The sequence below is a fragment of the Homo sapiens genome, chromosome 1, assembly GCF_000001405.40.
Source record: "Homo sapiens chromosome 1, GRCh38.p14 Primary Assembly".
Lineage (NCBI taxonomy): Eukaryota > Metazoa > Chordata > Mammalia > Primates > Hominidae > Homo > Homo sapiens.
In genome coordinates, this window is record NC_000001.11 from 161,747,077 (window position 1) to 161,766,442 (window position 19,366).

The 19,366-nt window shown below is 40.5% G+C and overlaps 2 protein-coding genes and 1 long non-coding RNA gene across 10 annotated transcripts in view, besides 7 other annotated features; 2 read left to right on the forward strand and 1 right to left on the reverse strand.

The window, feature by feature from the left end:
* Positions 708-787: an enhancer, noted in NCBI's record as "active region_2003". NCBI's record gives its function as "activates an Ori minimal core promoter by ATAC-STARR-seq in GM12878 lymphoblastoid cells {active_cell/tissue: GM12878}" and the evidence as "EXISTENCE:reporter gene assay evidence [ECO:0000049][PMID:35858748]".
* Positions 888-937: an enhancer, noted in NCBI's record as "active region_2004". NCBI's record gives its function as "activates an Ori minimal core promoter by ATAC-STARR-seq in GM12878 lymphoblastoid cells {active_cell/tissue: GM12878}" and the evidence as "EXISTENCE:reporter gene assay evidence [ECO:0000049][PMID:35858748]".
* Positions 2,509-3,018: an enhancer, noted in NCBI's record as "active region_2005". NCBI's record gives its function as "activates an Ori minimal core promoter by ATAC-STARR-seq in GM12878 lymphoblastoid cells {active_cell/tissue: GM12878}" and the evidence as "EXISTENCE:reporter gene assay evidence [ECO:0000049][PMID:35858748]".
* On the forward strand, positions 2,710-10,162 carry DUSP12 (dual specificity phosphatase 12). Of its 2 annotated transcripts, none has more exons than XM_005244862.4 (6): positions 2,710-3,069; positions 4,579-4,705; positions 4,790-4,908; positions 5,292-5,388; positions 5,999-6,185; positions 9,710-10,162. In XM_005244862.4, exons 2-6 carry the CDS (start codon positions 4,638-4,640, stop codon positions 9,869-9,871), a joined length of 633 nt encoding a protein of 210 aa, XP_005244919.1. In that variant the 5' UTR covers positions 2,710-3,069; positions 4,579-4,637; the 3' UTR covers positions 9,872-10,162. The 2 variants fall into 2 exon arrangements, with proteins under 2 accessions (XP_005244919.1, NP_009171.1); NM_007240.3 differs by having other exon boundaries at positions 4,592-4,705.
* Positions 3,080-3,726: an enhancer, noted in NCBI's record as "NANOG-H3K27ac-H3K4me1 hESC enhancer chr1:161719946-161720592 (GRCh37/hg19 assembly coordinates)". NCBI's record gives its function as "activates a minimal SCP1, AML or CMV promoter by ChIP-STARR-seq in primed H9 embryonic stem cells {active_cell/tissue: H9 hESC(primed)}" and the evidence as "EXISTENCE:reporter gene assay evidence [ECO:0000049][PMID:30033119]".
* ATF6-DT (ATF6 divergent transcript) lies at positions 16,707-19,071 on the reverse strand. 2 transcript variants are annotated; one of them, NR_187279.1, is made up of 3 exons: positions 18,754-19,071; positions 18,352-18,425; positions 16,707-17,081 (listed from the first exon to the last, which is right to left on the reverse strand). It is a non-coding gene; the product is annotated as an ATF6 divergent transcript (long non-coding RNA). The 2 variants fall into 2 exon arrangements; NR_187280.1 differs by having other exon boundaries at positions 18,348-18,425.
* Positions 17,353-17,522: an enhancer, noted in NCBI's record as "experimental_482 CRE fragment used in MPRA reporter constructs". NCBI's record gives its function as "activates a minimal promoter by MPRAs in K562 erythroleukemia cells, with activity observed for both the introgressed and non-introgressed 1:161734304 variant alleles {active_cell/tissue: K562}" and the evidence as "EXISTENCE:reporter gene assay evidence [ECO:0000049][PMID:34662402]".
* Positions 19,062-19,141: an enhancer, noted in NCBI's record as "active region_2006". NCBI's record gives its function as "activates an Ori minimal core promoter by ATAC-STARR-seq in GM12878 lymphoblastoid cells {active_cell/tissue: GM12878}" and the evidence as "EXISTENCE:reporter gene assay evidence [ECO:0000049][PMID:35858748]".
* Positions 19,172-19,251: an enhancer, noted in NCBI's record as "active region_2007". NCBI's record gives its function as "activates an Ori minimal core promoter by ATAC-STARR-seq in GM12878 lymphoblastoid cells {active_cell/tissue: GM12878}" and the evidence as "EXISTENCE:reporter gene assay evidence [ECO:0000049][PMID:35858748]".
* Positions 19,244-19,366, forward strand: part of ATF6 (activating transcription factor 6) — a 197,751-nt gene continuing 197,628 nt past the window's right edge. For all 6 annotated transcript variants that reach the window (NM_001437597.1, XM_011509309.1, NM_007348.4 and 3 more), the window contains exon 1: positions 19,244-19,366. In NM_001437597.1, the coding sequence (NP_001424526.1) occupies positions 19,285-19,366 (82 nt within the window). In that variant the 5' untranslated portion in view covers positions 19,244-19,284.

Below are 19,366 nucleotides of genomic sequence, written 5' to 3' on the forward strand. Positions count from 1 at the left end.
GTAATTCTATTTTTAATCGTTTGAGGAAACTCCGTACTGTTTTCCCTGGTGGGTGCACCATTTTACATTCCCTTCAGCAATGCATAAGCGTTCCAATTTTTCCACATCCTTGCTAACACTTATTTTCTGTGCTTGAAAAAAATACTAGCCATCCTAATGGGTGTAAGATGATATTATTATTGTAGTTTTGATTTGCATTTCTCTAATGATTAGCAATTTGAGCATCTTTTCCTATGCTTTTTGGCCTCTTGTATATCTTCTTTGGAGGAATGTCTATTCAGGTCGTTTGCCCAGTTTTTTGAAAATTGGGTTACTTGTTTTTCTGTTGTCGAGTTGTAGGAGTTTTTTATATGTTCTGCATATTAACGTATCAGATATATGCTTTGCAATTATTTTTTCCCATTCCATACAAATTCCTTTTCTCTCTATTGACTGTTTTGCTTGATATGCAGACACTTTAAAATTTGATATAGTCCCATTTGTCTATTTTCGCTTTTGTTGCCTGTGCTTTTGGTATTTTATCCAAAAAATTGAGGGAGAAGAAAAGGAAAAATCAGTTAGGTAGACAGCTAAGGCTAGCCCTTGGAGAAGCAGTCTGCCTGAAAAATCACAGCTACAAACAAAATAGAGCAGCTTAGGCAAAACTCAGGCTGCACCTGCACAGATAAGCAGGTAGGGTCCAGCACAGACGCTTTTCATTCTTCGTGTAATTGGCGAGCTCCCAGGAAAAACTTTCCTCCCCTTTTCAGGTATATACACAGTGGACTCCGTGGGAACTTGCACAGGAAGGAGGGGGGCTTACCTAAAACAAACCTACAGTGATACAAACAAGAGAACCCACGCTTTGTGCTTGCCTAGAGACATACCCACATCGGCAGAAGATAAGGGAAGTTGCACAGACAGATTTATTCATAAGAGAAGTTACTCAAACAACTATAGAGATGAGAGGAGTTTCTTATAATAGGTTTTGAATTCAGCTGTAAAAATGGCACCCCACTTGGGCTCCCCTCTCTGCTGTGGAGAGCTTTCTTCTTTTGCTTATTAAACTTTTGCTTCAACCTCACTCTTTGTGCCCATGCTCCTTAGTTTTCTCGGTCGTTAGACAAGTTCGGATAACACCTTAGACAATGAGACCATTAACCCTTACCTGTTTCAACATTTTTATCAAATCCAAGGCCATGAAGCTTTCCCCCTATGTTTTCTACTAAGAATGTTATATTTTTAGGTCTTTAATCTATTTGGAGTTATTTTTTGTGTATGGTCCAAGGTAAAGGTCCATCTTCATTCTTTTGCATGTGGATATCTAGTTTTTCCCAACACTGTTGAGGAGATTGTCCTTTTTCCATTGTGTGGTCTTGGCACTCTTTTTGAAGATTATTCTAACATATATGCAGTGTTGCAGGTGATTAGCAGCTTTCTGGGCTGGTGACATGGGTGGTAGGAAGAATTTACCAACACAGTTGTAGGTAAAGAAAGGCAGGTTTATTAGATAAAGTATGAAAATACATTGCAAGGGTGCAACAGGCAGGTCAGCAAGAGAGAAGCTGACTGCTAGGAAACAAAGGCTTGCTGGGGATTTTGTAGAATGGTGCTTATGTTGTGGGTGGAAGAGGGCTTTGTGCAGTACTAATAATGCCAGGGTTGCAGTGAACTAACTTCCATTTTTCTATCAGCTGAGGGTCTGGTGATGGCTGGGCACAGGCAGATTGTGAGTTATTTGCACAGCAGGGCTATGTGTCCTGGACCACGAAGAAAGGCAGACTTATGGCTTGTCTGCTTTCTCCTTTTGCTTCCCTTCGTCCAGCCAGCCTGACTCCTTTTCCCTAATTAGGACTCCACACGCAAGGGTTTGTTCTGTTCCAGAATAGAGACACGTCGATGTATCTATCTTTATACCAGTACTATAGCTGCTACTTCTTGACCAATTACAGCTTTAGTATCTCTCTCACCTGTCCTCCCTATACAAAAGATATATAAAATATACTCACTGTACTGAGTATCTTCCTGCAGCATTCAGTCTGGAGCAAAGCCTGCTTCCTTCAACCCTTTCCAAAATCCCCAAATAAAAGCCCAAAATCTGTAGAGGATCTTCCTAACATCCTCGTGCTGAGATGCCCTGAAATTCTCCATAACTCATGACTGAGTAATAAAACCAACTTGCTTAATTAAAGTTGGTTTCTTGTAGTCCTGGCCGGAGGACATTGACTTACAAAAATATAGGATTAGTATCTTCAAAATAAATAGACAGTAAACATCAACAAGGATTCACACCCCAATAATGAAATTGGGCAGAAAAAGGAAAAATAATCATGAAATGCACAGTAAAGATGGCTCCATAATATTGAAAAAAATTTTACTTCAAATGCATAAAATGATGCTTCTGATTCAGCTGGTGCGACATTTATTTCACATTTGAGTTCAGCTGCTCCTGATGTCTCTTTCCTGAAAATTTCAATACTAAGAGCTCGAGAAACCCTGTATTTGGGGAAGCTTATCCTTCACCATCAACTTTGGGGGTAGGGGTCAGAGGGAACAAGGGTGGAAAGGCCGCGCTGAATGGGGCCGAAGCTCCGCCCCTCAGCGATAAGTCCAGATTCCTGCGGCCGACGTGGTCCTCCGAGGGAGCAGCAGAGCCGCCGAGGCTGGCGAGTCCCAGGGGAAGGATGTTCTAGCCGGAGTCTACTCGATGGTAGGGCAGGAAGCCGCCTTGTCTCTGGGCGCGGCCATGTTGGAGGCTCCGGGCCCGAGTGATGGCTGCGAGCTCAGCAACCCCAGCGCCAGCAGAGTCAGCTGTGCCGGGCAGATGCTGGAAGTGCAGCCAGGATTGTATTTCGGTGGGGCCGCGGCCGTCGCGGAGCCAGATCACCTGAGGGAAGCGGGCATCACGGCCGTGCTAACAGTGGACTCGGAGGAGCCCAGCTTCAAGGCGGGGCCTGGGGTCGAGGATCTATGGCGCCTCTTCGTGCCAGCGCTGGACAAACCCGAGACGGACCTACTCAGCCATCTGGACCGGTGCGTGGCCTTCATCGGTCAGGCCCGCGCTGAGGGCCGTGCGGTGTTGGTGCACTGGTGAGTGGCCGGGTCAGTGGGTGACGTGCCCCGCCAAGCTTCCAGCCGGCCCCCGTCGCCCCTTACCTTCCGAGGCCGTCGGGAGGACAAGAGCGCGGTCATGCCGCGTGAACCTCCTCCCGCTGCCTCCCGCAGGAGGCGTGTTTCCAAGAGAGGAGGAGGGTTGAGGCGGGCCCCTGGTGTGTGCAGGCTTTCATTCATTCATGCTTTAGTTGGTTCTTCCTGCAGCAGCAGAGGGCGGGGGAGGTGTCATCTGATAAATGACAAATTACCTACACCCTAAGGAGTTTACAGCTCTGTTGGAGAAGCTAGACACCCACCCCGATTATTGTAATGCAGATTAGGTTGCTTGGTGTCTTGTAAACGGGATTTACAAAGATTTAGGGTTAAATGTTTTTGTTTGGGATGGGTGGCGGGTGGTTGATGAAGAGATGAATTGGTTTGGATCTAAAGGATCCCTGGGCTTTGCCTAGGGAGGAGATGGTTGCAGCAAAGACAAAAAGAAAATGGGAATCCCGCAGGGCGCGGTGGCTCACGCCTGTAATCCCAGCACTTTGGGAGGCAGGAGGATCACAAGGTGAGGAGTTCGAGATCAGGCTGGCTAATATGGTGAAACCAAAAATACAAAAATTAGCCGGGCGTGGTGGCTCTCGCCTGTAGTCCCAGCTACTCGGGAGGCTGAGGCAGGAGAATCACTTGAACCTGGGAGGCGGAGGTTGCAGTGAGCCGAGGTCATGCCACAGCACTCCAGCCTGGGCAACAGAGCGAGACTCCATCCCTCCCCCCAAAAAAAGAAAATGGGAATCCCTAAGCAGTTCTTGGTTGGATTGGAGTATAATAATCGTTTAAATTTATTGAGCACATAAAAGAAGATAGTGATGAAATCAAAAGAAGTCTGGGACCAGATTTTGAGGTCCCTGAATGCTAAGATGAAAGGAGATTGGATTTGTTTTTGTTTTGTTTTATTTATTTTTATTTTGATATAGGGTCTTGCTCTGTCACCCAGGCTACAGTGTAGTAGCGTAATTACGGCTCACTGCAGTCTCAACCTCCCAGGCTCAAGTGAACCTCCTGCCTCGGCCTCCAGAGTAGCTGGGACTACAGACCCCACCACATCCGGCTAATTTTTTGTAGAGGTGGGGTCTCACTTTGTTGCCCAGGCTGGTCTCCAACTCTTGGACTCAACCAATCCTCTCACCTCGCCTCCCAAAGTGCTGGGATTTCAGGCGTAGGTAAGCCACTGTGTCTAGCCAGGAGTTTGGATTTGTTCTGAGCCATTATAAAAATTTTAAAAATTACTGTTATTATTTTTGAATAGGTAATAGATTCACGTGGTTCAGAATTCAAAAGGAAAAAGGAATAATTATTTTGTACCTTGATAATATTTCAGAGGCAATGGGCTTATTTGAGAAGCAAAAATGAAGTGGGCCTAAACTTTACTATTAATAGGGGGCTGGGCTTTGTGTGTTTTTTTTTTTAATTGTTGCTATTTGCTGTTTTATTTTAAAGGTCTCTTTTTCAGTCATGCAGGAGTCAGTCGAAGTGTGGCCATAATAACTGCTTTTCTCATGAAGACTGACCAACTTCCCTTTGAAAAAGCCTATGAAAAGCTCCAGATTCTCAAACCAGAGGCTAAGTGGGTTCTTTTTTTATAGTAATAATTATGCTTTTGTGATATAATTTTAAGAAAATGAAACTTTATATTTCTTTATCATTACAGGATGAATGAGGGGTTTGAGTGGCAACTGAAATTATACCAGGCAATGGGATACGAAGTGGATACCTCTAGTGCAATTTATAAGCAATATCGTTTACAAAAGGTTACAGAGAAGTATCCAGGTAAGTAATAATTGCTAGTGTGTAATGGGCTTTCTAGATGACATTTACTTTAGCATTGTATGCTTTACCTTACTTCCAGCAATCCCTGAGAAACTATTGTTTCTTTTTGAAACTGATTTAGCCAGAAATAACCTATTCAAAATCACATGGTTTATAAATGGCAGGGTCAGGATTTGAATTCAGGCAGCCCGTGCCCAGAACCTAAGCACTTAAATCACTGTCCTCTCCTACCTTAGCCTGATTTCTCAACACTGGAATTTGATTTTTTTTTTTTTTTAATTTTTGAGGTTAGCACTTGTTGCCTCAATTTGACATTAACTGAATTTATCTGAAAATGCAGAGTTGATTTTGACAAATAAATACATTTTAATTATGTCATATAGAATTGCAGAATTTACCTCAAGAACTCTTTGCTGTTGACCCAACTACCGTTTCACAAGGATTGAAAGATGAGGTTCTCTACAAGTGTAGAAAGTGCAGGTAAACTATTTTATATCCTTTGGATATTTTATCTTGTCTCAGTAGCTGAAAAGTACTTAATGTTTTATTTTCTTAAATTTCTGTAGGAAGATTTTGTTTAATTGAAATTTTTAGTTCAGATCTGTTTTCAGAAAGAATATAAATTCTTAAAAAGAGAAATAATCAGATTGTAAGGGTTATTGAAAATTTAAGTAGTGTAATCAATGTTACATTATTTTGTTCTCTAAGCAATATTGCACATTTTGCTGGGCGCAGTGGCTCACGCCTGTAACCCCAGCACTTTGGGAGGCCGAGGCAGGCAGATCACCTGAGATTGGGAATTTGAGACCAGCCTGGCCAACATGGTGAAACCCCGTCTCTATTAAAAATACAAAAATTAGTTGGGCATGGTGGCTGGTGCCTGTAATCCCAGCTACTCAGGAGGCTGAGGCAGGAGAATTGGTTGAACCCAGGAGGCGGAGGTTGCAGTGAGCCATGATCACGCCACTGCACTCTAGCATGGGCGACAGAGTGAGACTCTGTCTCAAAAAAAAAAGAAATACCGCACATTTCATCCATGTTTTCATCCTTTTGGAAGTCATTAATGCTTTTGTTTGTTTGGGGGTTGCAGGCGATCATTATTTCGAAGTTCTAGTATTCTGGATCACCGTGAAGGAAGTGGACCTATAGCCTTTGCCCACAAGAGAATGACACCATCTTCCATGCTTACCACAGGGAGGCAAGCTCAATGTACATCTTATTTCATTGAACCTGTACAGTGGATGGAATCTGCTTTGTTGGGAGTGATGGATGGACAGGTGAGAACACATTTTATTTTCTACAATTTTATTTTATGATCTATATTTTATTCCTTCTTGCATTTTAAGCTCTATTTTAACTAGTGTTTTGCTCCATTTCTTAATTTCTTTATTTCTGAAGATTATATCTTTCTAGTGTAGATAAGACTATCAAAAATAAAATATTTTTCAAAAACCAGCTGATCCAACATAGTGAACTACTTCTGGTTGAGAGCCCTGGTCTAAGTTAATAAATTTCCTTTAAGGCTATTTATATTTTTTTCAAATATAAGACTAACATTTATTTTTAAACTAATTAGAATATATTGGCTGGGCACTCTTGCCTCATTAGCTCATGCCTGTAATCTGAGCACTTTGGGAGGCTGAGGCGGGAGGATCACTTGAGCCCAGGGTTTCGAGACCAGCTTGGGCAATATAGTGAGACCTCATCTCTATAAAAGAAAGTAAAAAATTTTTAATAAGAAAAAAAGAAAAGAAAAAATGTATTAAACAAAATTTGAACTTTGTAACAAGATAGGGTAAATCAGGGATTTTAAAATTAGGTTAAAAATTCTGTCTTTCTTTTTCTCTGTTGGCTTCCTGTATGTGTCTTTCTCTTTTTTCTTATCTTTTAGGAGAGTGAAATTTAGTTTGTTTTGCTATGAGATTCTTTTTCATTTCCAGTTAAATAATGCAGCTCATCCTATTGCTCCTGTAACCAGTGGGTAGGGAAATAAAAAAAGAATGCAGTTCATGTGACATTTTACATAAAAAAGTGTTTAACTTGGTTGGAGTGTGCCATGACAGCCACATTTCTCCTTTAGGTTTACTTGATATTAATGTGAAGGTATTCTATAATAATCATCTTAATAATGATTTTGAAAGTTTGTATGGTTTGTATAAAAGTTTGTATAGTGGCTAGTTTATGAAACCCTTTCACTGTATTATACCATTTGAAGAATGCCATAGCTTTATAAAATAGGTAGAGCAGTTATATTCACGTGTTGTGCATGAGGAAACTGTTTATGAGTAGTGTCTTGCCTAGAAAGTGGTACCATATAATCAAACTCACATTTTCGGATAATGCTGCTTTTTTTAAAAAAAACAGCCTTATTATAGTATAATTCACATAACATGCAATTTACCTATTTAAGGTGTATAGTTCAGTGGCTTTTAAAGTGTATTCACAGTGGTTTTTGCAACCATCGTGTATTAGTCTATTTTCACACTGCCATAAAGATAGTACGTGAGACTGGGTAATTTATAAAGGAAGGAGGTTTAATTGACTCATGGTTCTGCATGGTTGGGGAGGCCTCAGGAAACTTATTATCATGGCAGAAGGGAAAGCAGGCCACTTCTTCACAAGGCGGCAGGAGAGAGAAGCATATGTGAAGGAGGAACTGTCAAACACTTATAAAACCATCAGATCTTATGAGTGCTCATTCACTATCACGAGAACAGCATGGGGGTATCTGCCTCCATGATCCAATCACCTCTCTTCTTCCACACTTGGGGATTACAATTTGAGATGAGATTTGGATGGGGACACAGAACCAAACCGTATCACATCACAATTCACATTCCCACTCTTCCCATTCTTTTTTTTTGAGACGGAGTTTCACTCTTGTTGCCCAGGCTGGAGTACAATGGCACAATCTTGGCTCACCACAACCTCTGCCTCCCGGGTTCAAGTGATTCTCCTGCTTCAGCCTCCTGAGTAGCTGGGATTACAGGGATGCGCCACCACGCCTGGCTAATTTTGTATTTTTAGTAGAGACGGGGTTTTTCCATGTTGGTCAGGCTGGTCTCGAACTCCTGACCTCAGGTAATCCACCTGCCTCAGCCTCCCAAAGTGCTGGGATTACAGGCGTGAGCCACCATGCCCAGCTGCAATTCCCATTCTTGATGGTATTATTTGTAGCAGTTAGAGATTTTAATTTTGATGGTATCTAATTTATCAGTTTTTCTTTTTTGTGGCTTGTGATTCTGGCTTTCTAATTTTACTTAACCTGGGAAACACACACACACACTCCAGCCAAGTTAAATACATTTTTATGTAAGATTCTAAATCCTGTGCATACTTATTTGTATACATATTTGATTTTTTTCTGTAGAATATGTACCTAGAAGTGGAATTCCTGGCTCGAAGAATGTATTTTAAATATTAGTGATATTCCAGGCTGATATTCAAAATGCCCATACAAATTTGGTTTTCAGTAACTGAATGCATGTACCCGTTACTCCATATCCTTGACATAATAGATACTATAAAACTGGTAACATTTTGTCAGTCTGTGGGGTAAAAAATGTTAATCCTAAAATGTTTAATTGGAATTTTATGAAAATAGTCATCAACCACCATCTTTATATATTTACCAGCCATTTACTGTTTTCTTTTCTATAAATTGCTTTCATATTCCTAGGCCCATTTGCCTATGGGTTTTGTCTCTTTCTTACTCATTTGTAGGACCTCTATATATTCTAGATGTTAATAGTTCATCTAATATATTGCAACTATTTTCTTCAGTCTATTGCTTATCAGATTTTTTATGTTTTGTCATATTAAAATGAAGGATATTTACATAATAAAATTTGTTAGTTTTTTTATTTATGGCTTCTGAATTTCTTTTTTTTGAGACGGAGTCTTGCTCTGTTGCCCAGGCTGGAGTGCAGTGGTGTGATCTTGGCTCACTGCAACCTCCGCCTTCTGGGTTCAAATATTCTCCTGCTTCAGCCTCCCAGGTAGCTGTGATTACAGGCATCCGCCACCATGCCCAACTAATTTTTGTGTTTTTAGTAGAGACGGGGTTTCACCATGTTGACCAGGCTGGTCTCAAACTCCTGACCTCAGGTGATCTGCCCGCCTTGGCCTCCCAAAGTGCTGGGAATTACAGGTATGAGCCACCACACTCAGCCTGCTTCTGAGTTTTATGTCTAGTTTTCTATAGCTCAAGATTAAAAATAAAAACTCTTACCTTATACCATGCATAAATCAAAGAGCTAAACATAAAAATTAATGCTATAACTAACTACATTAGAAGAAAATGCAGTTGCCTTATTAGGCTTTTTTGATTTACCTATTTTCCTGGAATATCAGTTTGTCTTTAAATAGCTAAGAATCTGACTTATATGCTGTCAATACACACAGTTAGTAATACAGCATGAAAATCCTAACATGCTTTTCTATACTTTAGCCGTGATCATTTTCATTTGAAGTCCTAAATTACAAACTGATTTAAAAGCTATATATATATATATATATATATATATATATATATATGCCACATCCATGAAACCTTCCTTAATCAAATCTCAAGCTTCACTTTTCTCCCTTCAAGCTCCCTGAATACAACATTCTTCCTATGAGATAATTGTAGTCTACTATCTATTACAGTAAATTTCCAATGCATTTTATCTCACTGATTAGATTATAAACTCAACGTGGGGATCGTGTCTTGTTTTTATATCCTATATTGATTGCCAAAGATAATGATTTGTTTTGTATAAAAGTGAATGAATAAAGTAACACATTTGCTTTATTTCAGCTTCTTTGCCCAAAATGCAGTGCCAAGTTGGGTTCCTTCAACTGGTATGGTGAACAGTGCTCTTGTGGTAGGTGGATAACACCTGCTTTTCAAATACATAAGAATAGAGTGGATGAAATGAAAATATTGCCTGTTTTGGGATCACAAACAGGAAAAATATGAACATGATATTTTATAGCTTGGGAAGAAACTTGCAGATGATATGTGCTGCCTTTGCTTCTTATCATTCATGGCAGATTGTTTGTGCTTTCAACATTTCATTTGAAATGGGAGAAGATAAAATCACTTGATGTAACCTGGAAACTATGCTTTACATGGCAATCAAAGCCTTTTGATCATGTACATTTTATTTGATATTAAAATCTTTTATAACCAGATACTGTCTGTGTTTCATATATTTTTAAAAGTTTTGATTGTTGGAATGTTATATGATCTTAAGGTCTGTATAGACAAAATTATGTACAAAAATTTGAAACTATTATATTTAAATGGGTATTCTTTTATTTCCAGACACATAAAGCAGATTTGTTTGGACATATTTTGGAATTATTTCACTTTCTTTCTTTTAAGGGACATTAGTAAACCCATACATGTCTGGATTTTTTTCTTGGAAATGGAAAGGCCATTAGTAAAACGCTGATTAAAAGGCAATTTTCCTATTACTGTTCAGTAATCCCAATTATCTATATTTTTAGAAAAGTGTTTGAGATCCCTTTTGAAGTGATCTACATAAAGAAATACATAAATGTTAGATGTGTTTCTAATGATGAAGAAAACAAATGTAGAGTTACTATATATCAAGTCATTTTGTAGCCCAATATGTGAGTATTGGAAAAGGTAATACGTCCAGATTAGTTTTTTAACCTGATGTATAGAAACTAGAATTATTTTACTCATTATTAATAATTACAATTGGACCTAATTAGATATTTGAACATTTACAAGAATCAGAATTAACTAATAAAGGCCAGGTGCAGTGGCTTATGCCTATGATCCCAGCACTTTGGGAGGCCAAGGCAGGCAGATCATTTAAGGTCAGGAGTTCAAGACCAGCCTGGCCAACATGGTGAAACCCTGTCTCTACTAAAAATAAAAAAATCAGCCAGGCATGGTGGCACACGCCTGTAGTCCCAGCTGCTTGGGAGGCTACTCCAAAAAAGAACAAGAATTAATAAAGAAAAATATTCTTTATTTTTGTTGTAAATTAAGTTGTAAATTCACTAGTCATGCTCCCCACCATTTGCAGGGTTCCAACAATAGTACACATTGAGGCTTATATACATAAACACCGTAGTGGGAGTAATTTTTAAATGCAAAAATATGTTGTGAATAATGATCCTCTTAATAAATGCCTAGCTCAGTTTTTTAAAGGTATAGGAGTGTTATGGAAAATTCTTGAGAAAAATCTTAACATTGGACCTGAAGGCTTTGGCAGTTTCCATGTAATAATTTTTCTTTCTATTTTTTTTTTTTTTTTTTGAGATGGAGTTTTGTTGTTGCCCAGGCTGGAGTGCAATGGCATGATCTCGGTTCACTGCAACCTCCACTGCCCAGGTTCAAGCGATTCTCCTGCCTCAGCCTCCCAAGTAGCCACCACATCTCGCTAATTTTGCATTTTTAGTAGAGATGGGGTTTCCATATGTTGGCCAGGCTGGTCTCAAACTCCTGACCTCAAGTGATCCACCCACTTCGGCCTCCCAAAGTGCTGGGACTACAGGCGTGAGCCACCGCTCTCTGCCATAATTTTTTCTTTTGAGAAAAAATTACTCCATTTGTTTTAGCTTTCATAAAATCTACTTTTTTGCTTCATACTATTATTCTCTATTCATATATTATTCTCTAGAAAGTTTTAACAAACAGGTTGAGGAGCTCAGGTGTGGTGGCTCATGCCTGTCCCAGCACTTTGGAAGACAAAGGAGGGTGGATCATTTGAGGCCAGGAGTTCAAGACCAGCCTGGCCAATATGTGAAAACCCCGTCTCTATTTAAAAAATAATAACAGTTTGCGGCACATGAAGTTACCCCTTTTGTAGGTAAAAAGTAGTTACATAGCTGCAGTTTAATATGACTCAATGCCTATCCATCATACACTGTTGATCAGATTATAAAATCAAATAGTATGGATCAAATGCAATGTTAATTAAGTTGTAAATTCACTAGTCATGCTCCCCACCATTTGCAGGGTTCCAACAATAGTACACATCGAGGCCTATATACTATTTGTCTTAACTTTGTTTTTGTTTTTGTTTTTGTTTTTTTTGAGACGGAATCTTGCTCTGTCGCCCAGGCTGGAGTGCAGTGGCGCAATCTCGACTCACTGCAAGCTCCGCCTCCCGGGTTCACGCCATTCTCCTGCCTCTGCCTCCTGAGTAGCTGGGACTACAGGCGCCTGCCACCACGCCCGGCTAATTTTTTTGTATTTTTTAGTAGAGACGGGGTTTCACCGTGGTCTCGATCTCCTGACCTCGTGATCCGCCCGCCTCGGCCTCCCAAAGTGCTGGGATTACAGGCATGAGTGTCTTAACTTTTAAAACATAAATTGGCCGGGTGCAGTGGCTCACGCTTGTAATCCCAGCACTTTGGGAGGCCAAGGGGGGTGGATCACTGCAGGTCAGGAGTTTGAGACCAGCCTGGCCAACATAGGGAAACCCCATCTCTACTAAAAATATAAAATTAGCCAGGCATGGTGGTGGGCCCCTGTAATCCCAGCTACTTGGGAGGCGGGGAGGCAGGAGAATTGCTTGAACCTGGGAGGCGGAGTTTGCAGTGAGCCGAGATCGCGCCACTGCACTCCAGCCTGGGCGACAGAGCAAGACTCTGTCTTAAAAAAATAAAATTATAAATCAAGCTATCTGTTAAATAAAATGTTTTATTCTATTATCTTGACAAATATCCCTTCATAATGACCTGTCAGACCAGGTTTGAATTCAGAATTCTCTGATTTTATCAGATTCCATGACAAAGCATGGCAATGCAGGGAGAGGTGGCCCCCGCCCACTGGGTGCCTCCTTTATTTCCCCACCCCTTGATTTGTTCTGCATCATGAAGAGCCTGGTGCATATATATATATGTGGGTCCCCCACCTATATGTATAAGATCTGGCTACAGCCCTGGTGTATACCATTAGCCCATTTCACTCGTAAGAGGTATGAGGCCAGAGCAAGCCCTGGAAGCCGGCTTGGAGCTATTTGGGCTATTTGGGTGTTAGATGCACTTCTAGAAGGGGGCATCTGTTCTAGCTGGGCACATCACGTTGGCAGTATGGATTCTTATCCTGTGGGGCAGAGCCAGAGGTCAGAGTAAAGTCTTCTAAAGTGTCGGTCCAGGGTAGGGGCTCCTCTTACCTAGACCAAAGAGTGGTATTGTCTCTAGACATAAGGTTCTTTTTCAAATTGTATTTCTATTCCAAGGGTTTAAGTTGAAAATGAATGAGTAGATTCAAGAAAAAGAATTCCATAACATCCAACATTTAATGATTTAAAAAGAAAAGCCTGGTAACTAGAGTGGAAGGAAGCTTCCTTAATCAGAGCAGCTGTGAAAAATATATGGGAAAAAATCTTATTTAGTGGTAAAACTTTTCAAACATTCACATTAAAATTTAGAAGTAAGTTAAAAGATGTCTAGCCCCTACCTTCTGTATCGTATTAGAGGGCCTAACCATTGCAGTAAAACAAGGGGCTAAACAGTTTAAGACGTAGGAAAAAAATCTGAACTCACTAATAAATCTCGACATCTCTAAAAGTGGGACAGTATGTATATGCCTTCTGCTATGATGCAAGGAAGTACCTATGAAGTATTCTTGCAAAAGCAAACAAAAAACCAAAAACTAATCAAGCCTCTAGATGTCACTGGCAGTTTCTGGAACAAATTAAGCATCACCATGAAGATGTAATCAGCAGAATCATGAAGTGGGAAATTCTATAGGACCAATGACTTAGATTCTTCAACAAATGGCAGGGGGGAAGAAATGGAGAGGGAATTGTCATGTGAACTAAATGCAATGTGACAATCTTGTTGGATCCTGATTTTAACTAACTGTGGAAGGAAGGGCATTTTTGAGACAGAAAACTGAACATGGAACAGGTATCAGATGATATTAAGGAATTATTAATTTTGTTGGGTATGATAATGGGATTATCAGTATGTTTTTTAAAAATAAGAAAAGGCAGGCTAGGTGCAGTGGCTCATGCCTGTAATCCCAGCATTTTGGGAGGCTGAAACGGATGGATCACAAGGTCAAGAGATCGAGACCATCCTGGCCAACATGGTGAAACCCCATCTCTACTAAAAAAATACAAAAAGTAGCTGGGCGTGGTGGCGCGCGCCTGTAGTCCCAGCTACTCGGGAGGCTGAGGCAGAAGAATCGCTTGAACCCAGGAGGCAGAGGTTGCAGTGATCACGCCACTGCACTCCAGCCTGGCGACAGAGCAAGACTCCATCTCAAAAAAAAAAAAAAGGCCTTGTCTCTTAGAGATATACATTGAAGTATTTATGGGTGAAATAATATATCTAGATATGCTTTAAAATACTCCAGGAAGGCTGGGCAAGGTGGCTCACGCCTGTAATCCCAGCACTTTGGGAGGCCGAGGCAGGTGGATCACCTTAGGTCAGGAGTTCAAGACTAGCCTGGCCAGCTTGGTGAAACCCTATCTCTACTAAAAATACAAAAATTAGCTGGGCATGGTGGCAGGCACCTGTAATTCCAGCTACTTGGGAGGCTGAGGCAGGAGAATCGCTTGATTGTGGGAGGCAGAAGTTGCAGTGAGCCGAGCTCACGCCATTGCACTCCAGCCTGGGTGACAGAGAGAGACTCCGTCTCAAAAAAAAAAAAAAATTCTGGGAAAAACACAGAACAAAATGAAAAAAGTTGTGGAGAGGAGAGGTAGGATAGATAAAACAAGAATGGCAAATTGTTTAAGCTGAAGCTGGATGATAGGAACACAGGGATTTATTATATCATCTCTTGTATTTGTTTGAAAATTTTCATACTAAGTTTATTTTACAAATTAAAACATTAAATAAAATAGAATTTAAAAGGTTGGTGTTTGCATAATGTTCTGCTAAATAAAAAATCCTAAAGAACTTTAGACAAATTTTTTTAAAGTCATTTTTATTTTATCACATACTAGTTTCCATCTACCATAATATGATTTTTTTTTTTAGAGACAGAATCTTGCTATATTGCCCAGGCTAGCCTTGAACACCTGGGTTCAAGCAATCCTCCTGCCTCAGCCTCTCAAGAAGCTGGGATTACAGGTGTGTACCACTGTTCCTGGCACAGACAAAATACTAGAATAACAGAATTCAACAAGGTTTTTGGTACAAGATTGCTGTACAAAAATCCACAGTGTTGCTATACCCCAATAATAGCCAAATAGAAAAAAAAAGATGTGAAAAACAAAACTATAAAACTATGAAAATGAAAATGAAAATCTTAGTGACCTCAGGAGAGGGAAGGATTTCTTAAGAAAGCTACAAGTCAGCTATCATAACAACAGATTGATAAATTTGACTACATTGAAATTAAAATCTAGAGAACAAATCACCGTAAACAAAGACGACAAGTGTCAACCTGGGAGAAGGTATTTATAACATATACCAAGCGTTAACTTAAAAAAGCCCAACAATGGGCTGGGTGCGGTGGCTCATGCCTGTAATCCCAGCACTTTGGGAGGCTGAGGCAGAAGGATAGCTTGAGCCTAGGAGTTTGAGACCAGCCCGGGCAACAAAGCGAGACTCTGTCTCTCTCTCTCTTTTAAAAATGTATATATTAAAAAGCCCCACAATGAATAAATTTAGAAAAGAAGGGGAGACTTTATGGCCTGCAAGGTGGCCATCCTGCAGGCTGGGAAGCGTGCCTCCAGAAACAGGCGCTTTGAAGGAGGAGGGCTTGGAGTGTAGTTCAGGCTGAACAGGTTGGCTAAACCTACATTTTCACCAGGTTACAGGAAGAGCTATGAATATTCATGAAAGTGGTCCTGACACATGCGTATTGAACAAAAACTCATGTAACATATGACCCATATTCACTTTGGGATGGAGACTTAACTTTTTTGTTGTTGTTGTTCAGACGGAGTCTTGCTCTGTCACCCAGGCTGGACTGCAACGATGTGATCTCAGCTCACTGTAACCTCCACTTCCCGGTTTCAAGCGATACTCCTGCCTCAGCCTCCTGAGTAGCTGGGATTACAGGAACCTGCCCCCACGCCTGGCTAATTTTCGTATTTTTAGTAGAGATGGGGTTTCCCCATGTTGGCCAGGCTGGTCTCAAGCTCCTGACCTCGTGATCTTCCCACCTGGGCCTCCCAAAGTGCTGGGATTACAGGCGTGAGCCACCACACCCAGCCAAGACTTAACATTTAAATGTATTACGAGCCCTATACGTCAAAAGGTCTTTCAGGACATGAAGCCATGCAAATGTGCGACCTCTGTAGACCAGCCAGAACCAGTCCATGGCCAGTGGTCTTCTTACCTGGAGAAAGTTACTGAAATCAACAAAAAGTTGTCCAATGAAAGCTGTAGCTATGGCTGGTGGAACGGGGACTGGGGGTCAGTAAGTCAGCATCTCGTGGAGCTGCACATTATTTTAATATTGTTTATCTTTAGGCCAGTACTTGTTTAGCTGCTAGAGAAGAATCTTGTGGCAGTTAGAACACAGTTTATTCTTTAAGTATAGGGGTGTGGGACTAAAACCTTGCCTGGAATGGCTTTAGGTCTTTTTTATAATTTGGCATCTTATTGCCAGAGTCTGTTCTGTCAGTCTTATCATCTCTGTTTTAACATTAATGCTGGCCAGTTGTTGTGTTAAACTACAAAAGGGAGGGAGTATAACAAGGTGTGTCTAACCTGTCCCATCGTGGTCTAGAACTCAGTTTTAAGGTTTTCTAGGATCCCCTTGGCCACAAGGGGGCCTATTCTGTTGGTGGCGGACTTAGGAGTTTAGTTTTACTTTATACAGGTGAATGAATAGAGCAGGCTATCTAATGACGTACACATCATTTGTGAAAGAAAACTCCATAGCAAACTTTATAAAAGGTAAGAGTGGACAGTTCACAGAAGAGGAAATAAGGTTTCATAAGTATGGAAGAATGCACCACTTTGTTAGGGAAATGTAAATTGCAATTTTCACAGCGGTAAAAATGGTAAGAGTCTGACCATATCTTGTGTTGGAGAGAATGTGGAACAAAGAGAACTCATCAATGCTAGTGAGGGTGTAAACTGATAAAATAGTACATACATTATTTAAGACATTCTTGAGGCTGGGTGCGGTGGCTCACGCCTGTAATCTCAACAGTTTGGGAGGCAGAGGCGGGCGGACTGCTTGAATTCAGAAGTTTTGAGACCAGCCTGGGCAACATGGTGAAATCCTGTCTCTACAAAAAATACAAAAATTAGTCGGGTGTGGTGGTGGGTTCCCGTAGTCTCAGCTATTGTGGGGAGAGGCATGAGGATCGCTTAAACCTGGGAGGTCAAGCTGCAGTGAGCTGAGATGGCTCCACTGCAATCCAGCCTAGGGGACAAAGTGAGCCCCTGTCTCAAAAAAAAAAAAAAAAAAAAAAAGAGGGAGAGAGAGAGAGAAATTGAGATTCATTCAAGGAAATACCATGGGTAGATCCTTAATATCCAATAAGAAAAATGATTTGGAGAACATTAAAGTTTACATACATTAAAAAAACCCAAATGACACTAAATGCATGTGTCTATAAACATGTTTAAGCACCGTAAAACTAAAAATAAAAGTGGACTAGAATTACACTTTTATTTTTATAAAATAAAATTTTATACCCATAAAATTCATGGTAGAAGTGGCCTACGCCAAGGGAGGAAAATGAAGCAGGGAGGAAAGAGGAATTCAATTCTGTAGTATTTAATTTCTTATGAAAAATCTGGGACAAAAATGAAAAATGTTAAATTTTTAAATTCTTGGTGATAGGTCACAAATGTTTGTTTCATAATTACTTGCACTTTTTGAATAAAAATAAAATCTTTTGGAAATTAAAAAAATTGGCGATTTGTCATGGTGATTTTCTTAAAAGACTAAGGTGTCTAGTGGGATACAGAAGACTCGATGATTTTATTTTATTTTAGGTTTTTTTTTTTTTTTTTTTTTTGAGACGCAGTCTCGCAATGTCGACCAGGCTGGTGTGCAGTGGTGCGATCTCCGCTCGCTGCAACCTCTGCCTCCCGCGTTCATGCGATTCTCCTGCCTCAGCCTCCCGAGTAGCTGGGATTACAGCTACTTGCCCGCCACCACGCCTGGCTAACTTTTTGTATTTTTAGTGGAGACAGGGTTTCACTATGTTGGCCAGGCTGGTCTCGAACTCCTGACCTCGTGATCCGCCCGCCTCGGCCTCCCAAAGTGCTGGGATTACAGGCGTGAGCCACCGCGCCCGGCCTTATTTTAGTTTTTTATGTCAATTTTTGAATTTGTAATTGGGTGAGAATTAAAGTGTTATAAATTTCACCTTAAGTGAAAATTTATTAGTTTTCTAATGACAAAAGTAGTTACATCTGACGTAAGGGGATTTAATTATCTTTTTCTGGGCTTGCGTCCCGGAACGCTGCTGCATTATGTAATCTGTAGTAATATACCCACGAGCAGTTTGGAGGGTTCTGGGAAGCACATTTGTTTTGCTTACCTACCATGGGAAAGATTCCACGTGGTCCTAGAAGCATACGTATTCGTCGGTTACAGTATTTTAAATATTCACTGGCCGCTGAAATTTAAAATGGATGAAAAAGAAATTCTCTTAAGTAGCGTTCTTGAAACTGCTTTATCAAACTCAGTTCATATTTTCAGTTGGAGTTCGTGATGTATGTGATTTTCCTTTAAATAAAACCCGAATCTTTAGTAATACAAATATTGGGAACTTCGATTACTGTAGGTCTTAGGGTAGACTCGCTTGGACTTTGACTAAATACTATGCTTTAGAAATTTATCTTTAGGAGATAAATTTGGGGGGTTTATCTTTTTATATTTGCTTTGTTTCAATTTATTTAAATAAAAGTAGTCTTTCTAGAAGTATGTTTTATAGTACCACTTACCTCGGTTACTGTCCCAGTTAAGCAGTTTTCACGAATGTGGAAAAATAGTAGTGTTTTTCTTTCATACACGCGTATATGAAAAATTTTTACATTGATAGAGAATTATTCGTAAAAATTAAAGTAAATTTACTGTTAGTCTCTAATTTTGTTCTGAGATAGCCACGCTGTGGCATTAAGAAGGATAATCAAGGAATAAGCCATAATGTTCAGAAAGGGGCTTTACTTTTTATTTTTAATATTATTGATAAACTTTGTTTAGTCGAATTGATGTCTGCGTGTCTTCCCCCGCCTTCCCCATAAAACAGCGGGACAGAAAGTCCTGAAAACTCCAAAAGGGAAATATTTACTCAGAGGTCTATTCAAATTTGCTTAGTCTCTGACGTTTTCCTGTGTCGTACAAATCCCTCGTGCGGCAAAAGTAGTTTGTCTTTACTAGGCCACCGTCTCGTCAGCGTTACGGAGTATTTTGTCCGCCTGCCGCCGCCGTCCCAGATATTAATCACGGAGTTCCAGGGAGAAGGAACTTGTGAAATGGGGGAGCCGGCTGGGGTTGCCGGCACCATGGAGTCACCTTTTAGCCCGGGACTCTTTCACAGGCTGGATGAAGATTGGG